General features: G+C 38.9%; 1 protein-coding gene across 21 annotated transcripts in view, besides 1 other annotated feature; it reads right to left on the bottom strand.

The window, feature by feature from the left end:
- EPG5 (ectopic P-granules 5 autophagy tethering factor) overlaps positions 1-16,422 on the bottom strand; it is a 166,749-nt gene that overhangs the window by 81,125 nt on the left and 69,202 nt on the right. For 20 of the 21 annotated variants that reach the window (XM_047437710.1, XM_047437706.1, NM_001410858.1 and 17 more), the window contains 4 exons: positions 8,093-8,235; positions 6,046-6,202; positions 2,912-3,106; positions 569-782 (listed from right to left, as the gene is read on the bottom strand). In XM_047437710.1, coding sequence (XP_047293666.1) covers positions 569-782; positions 2,912-3,106; positions 6,046-6,202; positions 8,093-8,235 — 709 coding nt within the window. Of the gene's footprint in view, positions 1-568; positions 783-2,911; positions 3,107-6,045; positions 6,203-8,092; positions 8,236-16,422 lie in introns of those variants that run through there. The other variant, XM_047437713.1, reaches the window with a different exon arrangement.
- Positions 15,359-15,653: an enhancer, noted in NCBI's record as "tiled region #10800; HepG2 Activating DNase matched - State 8:EnhW". NCBI's record gives its function as "activates a minimal TATA promoter and a strong SV40 promoter by Sharpr-MPRA in HepG2 cells {active_cell/tissue: HepG2}" and the evidence as "EXISTENCE:reporter gene assay evidence [ECO:0000049][PMID:27701403]".

Consider the following 16,422-nt stretch of genomic DNA (forward strand, 5'->3'; position numbering starts at 1 on the left):
GAAAATTGTAAGAAGGGGGAACAGAAGTGGCAGGAATGTGGAGATTGTAATGCTGCTCTTTCCCTTGGTAAATATAAATAAAGTCTATCATTACATATGGATAAAATTAATTTGCAAAAAACAAGAGTAAAAGACTTAGAAAGGAAAAACTCCCAAAATGTTTGGAACTACAGAGAAACAAACTGTCATATTAAACATATCATAAGGCACAACCTCCTTGCTTTGCCAGATCTGTCGTCTGCAGAGTAAGCCAGTCCTTTCCCACCCCACTTCAAGACAGCTGAAAAGTCAAGACAAAGAAGTACCTGCATGACTGTGGACTCCACCAAACTGGAGGTGCTGCCTTGCCCAATTAGAGCCCATTCTCAAATTTAGAACAATAACTGGCCATATTTACAGTAACAACTTTTTGGGCCTTGTTCATCAAGCCCTTTAGATGACAATTAGTGATTCTAAACTCCTATACTGGTATTACTTTCATATCTTTGAATAACATCTGTAAGATGAAAAATGTGATATTAAATATTCACTAAGATCTAGTTAGTTACAATTAAATGAAGACACTTACTTTGCATAAGCAGCCTGAGAATGTCACTGTACTGGTCAGGAAACTGGTAGAGAAGAAGATAAGTCCAGTGCTTACAGAAAAGATTAAATGGCATCAAAATATCCTCATCTGGTTCAAGGCCCCAGGCAGTAAGTGCCAAGTGAATGGACTCCAGAAGCCTGGTACGATCAGACAGAGGAGGTTTAGTGGCGCTTAACCATTGTTTAAGATCGAACTAAAAAGAAAAAGAAACAAAAAGCCGTTTTATTTGCACTAGAAAAATAGTTTAAGAGGAGAGAGGTCTGTGTAAATTTAGTTTAAAAGCCAAAAATTACCCAGCATTTTATAAAAATTGAAATTAAAATGTATAAACAAGTACATAAAAGATTCAACCTGAGGAAGCTAATTGTAAAATAAATAAATAAATAATAAAAAGAGAAGTACATAAAAGAATATAAGAAGTTCACTAATTGGGTCGGGTGCGGTGGCTCACACCTGTAATCCCGGCACTTTGGGAGGCCAAGGCAGGCTGATCACCTGAGGTCGGGAGTTCAAGACCAGCCTGACCAACATGGAGAAATCCGGTCTCTACTAAAAATACAAAATTAGCCAGGCATGGTGGCATATGCCTGTAATCCCGGCTACTCAGGAGGCTGAGACAGGAGAATAGCTTGAACCCAGGAGGCGGAGGTTGCAGTGAGCCGAGATCACGCCATTGCACTCCAGCCTGGGCAACAAGAGCGAAACTGCGTCTCACAACAAAAAAAAAAAAAAAAAAAGTAGTTCACTAATTGGTGCCATTATGCATCTATTTCTGTGTTACTATCTAGAATCTCAGAGGCAGAGTTTTCTAAGCTCTGTGTGCTTTTCTTGCAATTTAAAAATTTTACTGATGATTCATTATTGGCTTATAATTTTATACTGTTCCTCAGAGTCTCATACATTTCTGTCTTATAATAAGTTTCCTCTCCAAGAACTGGATCAGAACTTCGTAGCTCTCCTTCACTGGCGACAGTGCCACAAATAAGCAGCCACTTTATGGAACTGTCTCAATTTAACAGCCATGTTTCTGGTCTGCATCAGTTACCTGTCTCAGTTAATAAAATTCAGACTGTTGATATTCCCTTCCAAAATCCCAAACTATAAAACATGTTCTCCTCCATTATAGGCTGAGATCAATCTGTAGGCCCTAAAATTGTCAAGGTTGTCTTTTTTTTTTTTTTTTTCACAACAGGTCTCACTCCATCACCCAGGTTGGAGTGCAGTGGTGCAATCACAGCTCACTGCAGCCTCAACCTCCAGGGCTTAAGCAATTCTCCCACCTCAGCCTCTGAAGTAGCTGGGAGTACCACTAGCCTGGTGTTTTTTTTTTTTTTTTTTTTTTTTTTTGTACAGACAGGGTTTCTGTGTTGGCCAGACTGGTCTCAAATTCCTACGCTCAAGCAATCTTCATGCCTTGGCCTCCAAAAGTGCTGGGATTACACATAGGAGCCACTGCACCCGACCAAAACTGCCAAGGTTTTGATTCATAGATGTAACAGAAATACAAGTGAAGGCAAAGTAGCTAAGACTCTGAAATTCTCAACTGCTTAAGTAAACTCATTACCTTGGTCTAACAGAGTTAATATTCTAATGTTATATACTAAGATATTAATATAAAATATAATATTAATATAAAATAAAATATTAAAGTTAATATTCAGAATGAGATCAAAGGCAATTTGCTTAGATCCAGCTTATTCTAAATATGAGAGAGACTAACAAAACCTTTGTCAAACACAATTTAGGCATAAATTCAGGATAAATTTTAAAAAAGGATGTACTAAACTACTATTATGAATATTTTCAAAACTGTATTAAGTTTTTAAAAAGGGGTGGGAATTAGGTCCTTTTTACACTAAGTGGAATAAGACTACCCTATACAACAGGGATCCCCAAGCCCCACCTCCTGTCAGATCACCCATGGCATTAGAGTCTCATAGAAGTGCGAACCCTATTGTGACCTGTGCATGTGAAGGATATAGGTTGCATGCTCCATCTAATGCCTGATGATCTGAGGTGGAACAGTTTCATCCCAAAACCATCCCCTCTACTCCAGTCCATGGAAAAACTGTATTCCATAAAACCGGTCCCTGGTGCCAAAAAGGTTGGAGACCACTGCTATACAAGACAACCAATGCCCCACCCCCTAAGAAGCAGCTGTGGGGTCAGACTGCTTGAAGCTCATGCAAACTGTGAAAAAGGCCTCTCAGCCTCTGCTGTACCTGGAAACAAAACTGCAGAGGTCCTTTTATTTCTGTAGAGGAGGAAGCAACAATCATTCCTACGTTTCAACAATATGGTGAGGATGGAATTACATCTTACCTTGGTTAGCAGCATGAAAATCATATCACTGTTGTCCTCACTTAGAAACTTCACCACTTGCTCATACAGCTGTATGAACTCTGCAGGTGCAGCATTGGGAGTGAAGAAAGGAGACAGCAGGGAGCAGAGCCTGCTGTTCTTCAGAATGGTTTCAAGTACTTTTCTGCACTCTGATTTAATGCCACTGATAAATACCTTGGAAAAATAAAAAGGAAAAATGTCACCAGATTCTTCCCTCACAACCTTTATTTAAGCAAGCAAATTTTTAAGGGGCACCAAATAAGGTGAATAGAATTTTTTTCTAAACAAAAGTCTGAAACAATCAAAAGACAGCTAAAATCAACATAGATAAGCCTATTGCTTCCAATGGAAGTAATATTAGAAATTCTGAAGAATCCATAAATCTGATTTGGACAAGTCACACAGAAAATGCTGAGTTAGTCCGGGTGCAGTTGCTCACGCTTGTAATCCCAACACTTTGGGAGGCCGAGGCAGGCGGATCACCTGAGGTCAGGAGCTCAAGACCAGCCTGGCCAACGTGGTGAAACCCCGTCTCTACTAAAAATACAAAAATTAGCTGGGCGTGGTGGTGGGCACCTGTAATCCCAGCTACTTAGGAGGCTGAGACAGGAGAATTGCTTGAACCCGGGAGGCAGTGGTTGCAGTAAGCTGACATCACACCATTGCACTCCAGCCTGGGCGACAGAGCAAGATGCCGTCTCAATAAAGAAAAAAAAAATGATAAGTTAACTATACTACAAGACTTTTAAGACATTAAAATATTGGGGTACTTTGAATCCACAAACATGCAATGTCCCCACCATGATTACTACAGTACCCAACATGGTGCTGCATTACGTCAGAAAACAAAACTTCCAGGTTATAGATTTTACTGAGAGTTATATTTAATACCTGTCAAAAACTAACTTCCATAATAATATATAATCAAGATGACGTCATCTTGTTTTAACTTGGTTCTAATATTTAAAAGTACAGAATATAAGCAAAAATTGAAACAATTTCACCGGCAGGAAGGCTTTCATATGGTTGACCACAGGCGGAAATAATAAAAGAACAAGACTGATAGGCTTGAATATATTAAAATTTTAACTTCTATAAGGCAAAAATATCATAAAATTAAAGGAAAAAAATGACAAACTGGAAAAATGTTTTTTTAACACATTCCAGATGCCAGGTTAATAGTGTGAGGAGCTCTTTCAAAGCAATCGGAAAACAAGAATCTCCAACAGAAAGTGTACAAAGGACCACAATCACCAATTCACAAAAGTATATATAAATGGCCAATAAACATATGAAAAGGCATATAACTTAACAAGTACTTAAAGAAGTACAAATTAAAATAATAATGAAATACCACTCCCTTATCAGATTAGCAAAACTTAAAAGAATGAGAGTTCCTAATGTTGGTTATGGTATGAAGAATAACAAACTCAAACACTGCAATGATAGCATAAGTAGGTGCAAAATTCCCAGGGAAGGCAGAGTGACTATGTCAAGCATGATGTAAAACATCAAATATACAATGTGTATCAAATTCCTTTGACACAGCAATCATACCTCTAAGAAATTATCCTAAAGAAAATAGTCCAACAAGTTCACAAAGACATACAAGAATATTTACCTCAGCCTGATTGCAGCAAAACAATCTACCTAAATATCCATCCATCAAACACTAGCTCAACACACTGTAATAAATCTGTATCATGGAGCACTATACAGACATGCAATGTCATGATATAGGTCTGTATTTATTAACATGAAATAATGTCTAAAAGATGTGTTTAAATGAAAAAGGAGGTTACAAAATAGCATGAGCCCATTTTAAGTGCCTATCCATATCTATATATCTCTATATATGTAGAAATATGTTTACATATACATATACACAAATAGACACACATATACAAGACAAACTATAATGAAATGTTAGCTATGTAGTCAGTATTTCTAGGTAGTTAGGATTATAAGAAAGTTTTCTTCTTCATACTTTCTATGCTGTCTGCATTGCTTATAATAAGCATACATTAATTTTTTTTTTGAGACAGAGTTTTGCTCTTGTTGCCCAGGCTGGAGTGCAATAGCATGATTTCCGCTCACCGCAACCTCTGCCTCCCAGTTTCAAGTAATTCTCCTGCCTCAGTCTCCCAAGTAGCTGGGATTATAGGCACGCACCACCACACCCAGCTAATTTTGTATTTATAGTAGAGGCAGGGTTTCTTCATGTTGGTCAGGCTGGTCTTGAACTCCCAACCTCAGATGATCTGCCCACCTCAGCCTCCCAAAGTGCTGGGATTACAAGTGTGAGCCACCCCACCGGACCAGCACACATTAATTTTATGATCAGGATAAAAAACTTCCTACAAAAAAATCAATGATGATACCTGTTCAGCATTACTTCCTTGTAAGCATCCAATAAGTAAGTACTCATTCAGTTGAATTTGGGTGAGAGTACATGGTTAACTAGTGTTTACATATTTCAAACAAGAGGTTTTCCTTTCTTTTATGAAACATTTCATAAATCTGTATGATTACCCTTACCCTTATTAAATATCTATCTATGTCACTGTAAGCCAAATAAATAAATAAACAAACAAATAAATGTTGACCAAGACTAGCAACCGGGACACAGCAGTGGGGAGGTGGAGCAAGCACTGAGTGTTGTCAGAAGCCCTGGGATCCAGTCTCAGCTCCACACTCACCAGCTGAATTCTTTAGGCCAGTCACTTAATCTTCTAGAACCTAGTTTTCTCATCTTTAAGAAGGGAATCTCAATCACACAGATTCCCCATGAGGATTAAACAAACTGGGAAGTATTTTTATAAACAATGAAGAGATTTAGTACTGTTATTGTTAAGAACACCAAGGATATATGACAAGTTCTGATGTCTCCCTAGACTTTCAAATATGAATAATCTCCCTTGTATGAGAAGCAAAATTCTATACCAACAATTCTAATCATATTTTGAGAAGCCTACAACTCCAAGAGGCTTCTGACTTGGGTAAGACTCTGAACCTGTAATATAAGTCTGAAGTCAATGCTGACTATATCCAAAGAAGACAGACACCGCAGAGACTCATTATCTGATCAAGGCAAAAGGTACAGATAGCCTTACCTGTCCCAAGATCTCAATACATGAAGTAAAGAACTGCCTTGTTGGGGGATGACGCTGCGTCTCATCGCTGACGTAATCCACAATAGTAAAGAAAAGGCTAATGCCAACTTTCTGAATCCCAGGTGTAGGCTGCAACTTGTAGGCATTCACTAAGGCCCTGTGGGAAAATGTGGGTAAGACTGCAGTCTACAGTAAAAGATTCCATACTCACAAGGCCTTCTTTGATACCCTACAATTTCTCAGGCAATATTCTTAAGAATCCTCAGAGCACCCATGAAAATGTCACTTTAGAAATATTTCATGGAGTAAATATATGTATCTTCCAATTTTACTGACAACTGATTTTCTTTTTTTTTTTCTTTTTGGGGTGGGGGAGACAGAGTCTCACTCTGTCACCCAGACTGGAGTGCAATGGTGTGATCTCGGCTCACCACAACCTTCGCCTCCCGAGTTCAAGTGATTCTCCTGCCTCAGCCTCCTGAGTAGCTGGGATTACAGGCACACGCTACCACACCTGGCTAATTTTTGTATTTTTCTTTTATTTATTTTATTTTATTTATTTATTTATTTTTTGACGGAGTCTCACTCTGTCACCCAGGCTGGAGTGCAATGGCGCAATCTCAGCTCACTGCAACCTCCACTTCCAGGGTTCAAGCGATTCTAACACCTCAGCCTCCCAAGGAACTGGGATTACAGGCAGCTGCCATAATGCCCAGCTAATTTTTTTGTATTTTTGTAGAGACGGGGTTTCACCATGTTGGCCAGGCTGGTCTTGAACTCCTGACCTCAGGTGATCTGCCCGCCTCGGCCTCCCAAAGTGCTGGGATTGCAGGCATGAGCCACCGCACCTGGCCAATTTTTGTATTTTTAATAGAGATGGGGTTTCACCACGTTGGTCAGGCTTATGTCAAACTCCTGACCTCAAGTGATCCGCCCACCTTGGCCTCCCAAAGTGCTGGGATTACAGGCGTGAGCCACTGCATCTGGCCGATTTTCAATACTTAGTAATAATTTCATAGTCTCCTAGGGGAAAAAAATCAGCTATAAGAACTAATTAACATTCTCATCCTTATTAAAAATGTTCATATTTTGCATGTAATTCATAATTTGTTATTTAACTTTTTGTATTCTTTATATAATTTTTTTAAACACAAAACCCTGATTTCTCTACATTTTAAAATCCAAAACACTGACTAAAGTTGAGATAAAGATTTCTGTGTAGAATAAGATCCTAGAATAAAGATAGCCCTTCCAATTCTCACACCTTTTTGTGTCCCTTTCCCAGTAAAAGAAACATCAACCTCTTGTTTGCCTGGTCTCCTCCTTCCCAGGAGCCCCAGCCCAACACACAAAAGGACTCGATGCTCCCCTCCATACACCATCCTACTCTACTGAGGGGATCAGCTGTTGGAACTGGAATGTGGAGTCAGTCACCTTAAAGTAAAGGCAGAGTCAACCCCCACCTCCCAAGTCATGTCATGGTGGCTTTGGAAAGAAAGAGGACAGTGAGAGAAAGCCACAATGAAAGCCAAAAGAAAACGATGGTCAAATGCAAGTTCACAACCACACTTGAGAGTCCTAATTCCCCTAAATAATTGTGCTATGAACTTTGTTCAGTCATCTGAGTTGACAAGGATAAGTTCCTGGGTAAATGTGACTTTGATATAACACATAAGCACTAAATCTCTCCACAACTGAATTTCAATGCACTATATCATCTCACAATTCAGGGGTCAGCAAACTTTTTCTATATAGGGCCAGATAGTTAATATTTTCTGCTTTATATCTCTGTTACAACCACTCAATCCTTCTGCTGCAGCATAAAAGCCATAGAAATTATAAATAAATGGGGATGGCTGTGTTGCAATAAAACTTTATTTATAAAAATAAGTAGCAGGCCAGATTTGACTCAAAGGCCGTAGTTTGCTGATGTCTGTACTAAATTAACCTGTGGGTGCTGCAGGGGTGGTGGTGGTATAGTAGCATGTATGATTACTATTCATGATAACAAAACAGTATTTCAAATTATAATGCCTGCAAAACTTACGTGATCAAGTTTTCTGCATGTACAGCAGCTTCCACAATATTAAGTGATGGTGGTTTAGCAGCTTCTGCTTGCAACTGCTTCACTTCCTTCCGTAAAACATGAAGCTGTTGGCTTATGGCTTCATTCTTATGCATGCCTTCAAACTAACAAAAATTAAAGTTATCAAAAGACATTTCCCCCCATGTGTCAGGTTTCCCATGAAGACTCAAACTGAAATAAAATTATTGTCTTATAAAAATACCAAAATTTGTATCTCTTTATATGACTGCCTTATAAACTGGTAAGATCTTGAATTAATTTATCAATAGTTCAAAGCCTTTTGTAGGATACTATTTCACTTATGTTTCAACTCCTGAAATCCTCATCAAAAACACATCCCATGTCTTCCACCACTGAGGCTTTTCTTGAAGCACAGGAAGCCCCTCCACTGCTGATCATGGCTCCCCAGCCGTAGCCCTTCTGTGTGCTCTCAATCCAACATACAAAACACTCAACTCCAAACACTCAGGCTGCGTACACATGTGTGCCCAGCATTAAAAAAAGATGACACAGATGCTGCTCACAAATGTCGTTTTGAAAGGAAGAAAATATATATAATCATAAAACAAACAACAAAATAAGATAAAATATGGGGAAATGCCCAAACCAACTCCATGCCAAGGAAAGAGCAATTGGCTAATTCCTAAATTCACCAATTTAGGTTCCTAGAAGCTGGTCTTTGATAAAATTTTTATTGGTTTTCAGTAAAGGTGGAAAAACAAGGAGAATTTATTGAGCTTCTTTAAAAAAAAACTAAATTTTTTTCAACTCAAAAGATTATCCTTTTTTAAGATTAGCCTTTCTTATTTGAGAAGCCATCAACAAACCCTTTCTCTGACTGATAGTGACATACATAACTGGTTTGTTTATGCAATTTTAATGTCATTTTTTGGATGTGGATAGAGGCAGAAGAAAAGAGAAGACATCCTGGGCCCAGATTGCAACACAAACACAGAACTGACATGACAGCTGTGGGGGATATGGGACAGAGATACAGGAAGGAGGAGCCTGGCCAGGGTTGCAGAGTGCAGTAAAATCAGACTGGGGAGCTGAGAGAGCCCTCTTGGAGAGGCTTTGAAATGCAGGCCGGGGAGTCTGGACTTACAGGTACAGCTGAAGAGACCATAACATTTAGAAGGCAAGAGTTCTAAACTCTACATTCTCCTCCTGTCTTCCCCAAACACATGGGTGAGCAGTAAGGTCTACATTTTTTCCTTACATGCACCTGCCCAAACCCAGTCTTCAGCCATCACTGCAATGATTAAAGATATCCTTTATAAATAATGTAAATAATTCACAAACTTATTACCTGAGGCTCTTATGTCACTTATGAGGCCCAGGGTTATTATCATAAATTCTGTATAAAAGTTCCTGAAGGGCGGCCAGGCATGGTGGCTCACACCTGTAATCCCAGCACTTTGGGAGGCCGAGGTGCGCGGATCACTTGAGGTCAGGAGTTCGAGACATGCCTGGCCAACGTGGTGAAACCCCGTCTCTACTAAAAATACAAAAATTAACTGGGTGTGGTGGCAGGCACCTGTAATCCTGGCTACTCAGGAGGCTGAGGCAGGAGAATTGCTTGAACCTAGGAGGCAGAGGTTCCAGTGAGCTGAGATCATGCCACTGCACTCCAACCTGGGCGACAGCGTGAGACTCCGTCTCAAAAAAAAAAAAAAAAAAAAAGTTCCTGAAGGGCAATGGTCCTTCCTATTTGTTTTACTTACCCAGAACCCCAGCACAGCATAACTCTGACAATACACTGAGCAACTATTTTTTATGACTGTGATAATAATAACTTTCTTGTATAAAACTCATTAATGTATTAAAAATCTTTACAAAACTTCTTTAAAAAAGAAAAAAGCTCTGTGACATCAAAATGCACAAAAGTGAATATTCTAGAACATATAATGTTAACAATAATTAACTTTTACTATTGGAGAAATGAAAGATTAAAAAAGAAATTACTTGCATTTAATTAGATAATAAATCAATACAAGTATCTGAATTAAATTTGAAATCTTTCAAATAACAGACCAATGTTTAATATCCTAAAATGTGATTAGGAGTATCTGCAGTCAGCCTTTTTGTTCAATACATCACCAAATACAGTTAGACCGGGACTATGCGTGTCACAGAATCCCCTGGCTGGCCTGGAGAGACAGGAGCCAAACAGGAAAAGAGAGAATCTGAGATAAGGAAGGAAGACACAGAATGAAGGGAGGTGGAAAGGCAAAGGATCCAGAGACCACTTGACTGGAAAAATGCAGACAGGACTAAAACTACTCTGTAATCCAAACTTTACAACTGCCATTCCATGTTGTAGAAACTACTAAAATAAAACCAGGTGGTTTAGGCAAGTTTAGACCCTCTCACAAAAAACATCCCCAAATTATTATTATTTTCTAGTCTACTTATTTTTGTTTATTGTTCCCACTACTGTTGAAAGTTTTCTTTTTTTACTGCAATGAAGGTGAGAGCAATGGAATGTCTATCAGTTCATAATTACAAGAAGTAGTAGACAATAGAACAAAGTAGCATGGTGGAAGCCCCTCCACTTGAGTCATTTTAAGTGGACACAGAAATTTAAAAGTTTCCTTGTCTAAATTTAAAAGTTGGACAAAGCATGTCCTTCAGCCAGTTTTTACAATAATGTGAGGCCCTCAGTGGGTCTTTTCCATCGTTCATTTCTTGGAATTAACAAATTTTTCACATGATAATAAATCAATCCTGGGGTCAGCAAGCATACCCACAATACCAAAGTACATCAAAAGGAACCCAATTATAAATCACCCCATTTCCCCAGGGAACATCACTGAATTGTTAGAGCCTTCTACTGGGAAGAGAGAACACAGAAAGAAGCATGTCTCACTTCCCATAAAATATATTTGCCTTTGTATACCCCAAACAAGCTATCCATAGCTCAGACGCTTGCAGATAGCTGGAAATTTCCAGGACATTCTTTCCCAGAAAAAATCTATTAAGGAATAAAATATTTTCATGATATAATTTGAACTCTTTATAAAGGAGTCATTCAAAATTATATTTAAAATCTGAAGTCATTTCCCATAAAGCTAATTTTTAAAAACTGATCTAATCTAGAATGTTAAGATCACAAATTCTCTAATCACTGAAAAAAGAAGGCAATACTATTATACAGACTCAGAGAGAAAATGAAATGGTACCTATATTCATTTACATGAGATTTAACTGTCATGATCAGCTTGCTCAGAATCACACTGCAAGTATTCAGAAGCTGCAGCTGAAACAGCTGAAGCAAAACGACCTGGCAATATTGAATGGGAAAAGTAGGGGTCTTGAATTTAGACATATGCAGGCTTGAATCCTGATGGAGCTACTCACTAGCTATGTGACTTTGGCAAGTCTCACAGTGTCTCTGAACCTGTTTCTCTGAACTCATCCTCATTCTGTGAAGATTAAGTTGGATAAACTAGGCACAGTGCCTCACATCTGTAATCCCAGCACTTTGGGAGGCCAAGGTGGGTGGTTCACTTGAGGTCAGGAGGTCAAGACCAGCCTGGCCAACATGATTAAACTCCATCTCTACTAAAAATACAAAAATTAGCTGGGCATGGTGTTGTGACCCTGTAGTCCCAGCTCCTCAGAGAGAATCATTTGAACCTGGGAGGTGGAGGTTGCAGTGAGCCAAGATCGCACCACTGCACTCCAGCCTGGGCGACAGAGTGAGACTCTGTCTAAAAAAAAAAAAAAAGTTAAGTTGGATAATGAAAGCAAAGCACCTAGCATAATACCAGGGACATGAGAGTGCCCCAAGCAAGTGACAAAAAGTACTGTGAACATGGCTGGGAAAGACAGTGCAACCATCCTTACTGCTTCCCAAGACTGAATATTTGGGAGACATTTACACTAGAGTAAAAATATACAGTAAGCAGTGTATAGTATTTAAGTTGAGTATTTAAGTATGGAAAGTATTAAGTTGTTTAAAAGCAAAGGTAAGCACAATCAAGGAATGAACTGTTAATTTTTAATAAGAAAAAGTTCCAATTTCCATGATGTCTGTCATGGCCAAACAATATCCACAAAATTCCCCAAAGTAGTTAAAATCAGGGAACTTACTTATGAAGGGCATAAATCTAGAGCTGTTCATTCCTTCAAACACATCCATTTTGCAGCACTGACTGTATGAGGCACTGATGATACAAACATGAATAAGACAAAGTCCCTGACCTTGTGTAACTCAAAATCTAGTAACAGCATAGAACTAATCATAACACAAAATAAGTTGTAACACAGCCTAATGAGTGGTGTGTTACAAATAAGGATGCTTCCTTTCAGCAGAGGTGTACTAAAAAAATTAAAACAGGCCAGGCATGGTGGCTTACACCTGTAATCCTAGCACTTTGGGAGGCCGAGATGGGTGGATCACCTGAGGTCAGCAGTTCAAGACCAGCCTGGCCAACATGGTGAAACCTCATCGCTACTAAAAATACAAAAATTAGCTGGGCACGGTGGCACCTGCCTGTAATCCCGGCTACTCAGGAGGCTGAGGCAGGAGAATTGTTTGAACCCAGGAGGCGGAGGATGCAGTGAGTGCCACTGCACTCTAGCATGGGTGACAAGAGCAAAACTCTGCCTCAAAATAATAATAATAATAATAATAATATTAAAAACAAATAAAGATGGAAACCTTATTCCCAAAGAGTTCAGTCTGGCAGGACAAAACAGCAAGTGACTGCAACAGCATTTAGGCACAAGCTGCAATGAGGGAAAGAACATCTCAATTCGACTGCAAGAGTCCGCAAAGACTTCAAAAGAGGTTTGGCCTGAACTAAATACTGAAGGCTGAGCAAGAAAGAGGTCAGAAATGGGTGGGAGGAGAACAAAAGCAGCATATGCGAAGAACAAAGGTATTAATGTGTATGTTGTGTTTAGAAAAATGCAGAAAGTCTAAATGGCTGAAAAGTAAAATGTCTGTGAAGTGGGAGAGAGGATAAATGATGCTGCTAGAAAAAGATCAATAACAGATTATGAAGGGCGCTAAGGGTCATATTCCTTTTGATACTGCCAAGTAAATATGGGTTTTTAGCCTGAAAATGTGATCAGATCTATGTTTCAAAAGATGAGTAATGAGAGAATGGAAAACAGACTAGGCAGGGAGAGAGATATGGACAGGAAATCTAATTAATGCAACAGGTCAAGGGAGAAGCGAGGTGTGCATACCATGGAGAAATGGCAACAGAAACACAGAGAAGGGAATGTCACGGGCTTCAGAAAGCCATTTCAGAGGCAGAACCAATATGGAAGCAACTTTGGAAAATACAGGAATGAAGTAGGGTAGGGTAACTGGAAGTGATGATATTGATGCCTAAGTTTCCAGCTTGGGAGACCAGCTATGTGAAATTATAGGAAGAAGAGATTTGGAAGGTAAAGGTGAGATTAATTTGGGAATATGGAGTTTGAGGTATTTGTGGAACATTCAGGTAGAATGAGGCAGGTGGAAATCTAGATTTGGAACTCAAGAGAGAATTCTGGACTAGAGAAACAGAACAGGATTATCAACATATGAGTAAATAGCTCTTTTGTTCGTTTTGAACTATTCTGAGATCTATTGGAGTTATACACTCTCCAGAAAAAAAAATTTATGCACACTTTCAGGAACTTCACCAATTCTCTAAAGACCATTCACAGACCCCAGATTAAGAACTCCAGCACAGACAGTAGGCAAAAGAAGATGATGTCATATGAAGAAGAGAATCAGGATAACTAGCAATTTAAGGGTTTGAGTTGAGGAGGAAGAAACCCTGGAAACTGAGAAGTGCTTAGAGATTCAGAGGGAAAAGATGTGACTACATAAAGTTCAATATCACAACAGAAAGATGTTAAAAGGAATCAAAACTACTGAACATAGCCATGAGGTGGTCACTGGACACATCTATATAGAGGGCTACAGTTTTATGTATAAAAATAACACAACCTACCTTTTGCAGGACATACTCTCTCCCAATGACAGTTTCATGATGAGTCATAAACACTGAGAACTCACCCTCTCTATCCTCCATTAACACCTCTTTTTCCAAAACTAAAGTCATCCATAACCAATATTATCCATTTGGGTATTGGATGGCTTCATATTTAAGTACAATCTTTGGCCAAAAATCTGAGCAAAACGAACAACTTGCATAGATAATTCCCCAACTTCATAGCAGGTAGAGTTTCAGCTTTCCTCTATCTTGCCCTTTGCCATTAATGTGTAACAAAACATATTTTTATCTTCAAGTCCTAGAAGTATCAACCAGCAAATACCGCCTGGGATAGCCTCAACTAGCAACAACAGTACTATATAACTTTCAAGATTATTTAAGTCTCCGCCTATAAAAGTTGTTCACTGTCCATGTTTTTAATTGCCCTGGCAAATCTGCGTTATCAGGCAAAACACTGGCTGCAGTCGATACTATTATTGATACTGAACTTCTAGGAGCCATCAGTGAGGGATCTCAAGCTTGTGGAACTTCCCAAGTGGGACTAAAAGTCAGGGCACTAAGCAAACGAGTGAGGCCAGCAGAAAAGTAAAACCTGCTTTAAGAAAACTTAAATATTTCTAATGAGGTTAGGGCCACAAAATACAGCTATTTTTTCAAATTCTTTACGCTTCTGCAACATCTCCTTTTTTCCCTCTCTCCTTCATTACTTTTCCCCCTTCTTTCTTCAAGCTATATTAGCAATTACCAATTTTTCTTTTTTTTTCTTGAGACAGGGTCTCACTCTGTTGCCCAGGCTGGAGTGCGGTGGCACAGTCACAGCTCACTGCAGCCTGGACCTCCTGCGGTTAAGTGATCCTCCTGCTTCAGCCACCCAAGTAGCTTGGACCACAGGCGTGCGCCACCATGCCCGGCTTATTTTTGTATAATATTTTTTGTAAAGACAGAGTTTCTCCATGTTGCCCAGGCTGCTGAACTCCTGAGCTCAAGCAATCTGCCCACCTCAACCTCCCAAAGTGCTAGGATTACAGGAGTGACCCACCACGCTCAGCCCAACTTTTCTTTAAAGAAAAGAAAGCACAAGAACTTTGGTATGTTTGTAAAAACATCTAAGCCATGTTCACATCAGTCCTTATCATAAATCATCTTTTCTCTGACCTCCCTCCAATCAAAATTACCTAGAAGACATTTTAGAAAAGGTGTTTCTTTTTATTTCAGAATTAACAAAGCAAAAGATTATGTTTAAAATCTCAATTCAAGGGTTCAGACAAATAATATAATACTATGATCCCTTTTTCTGTAAAGGAAAAGAGACAAGTCACAGGTAGGCTTAGAGCTTCAGCTCCCTGGCCTGCCTGGTGGTATTTTCCACTGCAAGGCCCAGAGAGTTAACAGGAGGTCAGGGCAAGAGACCTGTTCTTTAGCTGAGGCAGTAAATATTTACAGTTCTTCACAGAGCAAGCCATCAGCCAGAACTGGAAAAACATTTCTTTATAGTTATCTCACTTGTCACTTATAAAAATGCATTTTAGAATTCTCTTCTCTATATAAAATTAACAGTCTGGCAAAGATATGTAGTTTTAAAATATGGAAAAACACAAATTGGTGAAGACACCCCTTTTTTTATTAAAACCGGATACATTTTCAGTTTTTTCCTCACTAACTCGAACTCCACCCAAAATTGGCAAACTTTTCTCCCAGTTTTATTACTTCAGCAAGCGATCTTTTCTTAAATATTTCTACCTTGGTCTTACTATAACAGCATTAGTAACTGGGAAAAAAATACACCAAAAGAAAACCAACTGTATAAAGCACCTGGCCAAAGATAACTCAATGTTTAAGAGTCGCACATATTTACAATAACATACGGGAAAATAAGTTGGACTCATCCTAACTTTTAGGTCAAATTTCTGAACTTTAGACAAATACAACTATGTTGAAAAATCAGAGACACATTTTGAAAGTAATGAAAAATACAATACATATAAAAGATTATTTCAGAGAAGACATTTTGTAGAAAAGAGTCTCCCAAGGAAATTGATGGAGACATTGGAATAGTTACAATGAAAATTAGCAAAAAAAGAAGGGAAATTTCTGAAAGACAAACAAGAGGGAGTAAAATAAATTTTCTCCAATTTCCAAAAGCTAACAAAAAAGAATCATTTGTGTGTAGACAGATTTAGACAATAGGCAGTGCTAATCTCCAAGCATTTCTCTTTCAGCTTAAGGAATACTGACTTCACTCGAAGGAGGAATACAGTGCGGTGATTAATGAACACAGGCTGGCCGGGTGCGGTGGCTCAGGCCTGCAATACCAGCACTTTGGGAGTCCGA

The sequence above is a fragment of the Homo sapiens genome, chromosome 18 (genome assembly GCF_000001405.40).
Source record: "Homo sapiens chromosome 18, GRCh38.p14 Primary Assembly".
In the NCBI taxonomy this organism is placed as follows: domain Eukaryota; kingdom Metazoa; phylum Chordata; class Mammalia; order Primates; family Hominidae; genus Homo; species Homo sapiens.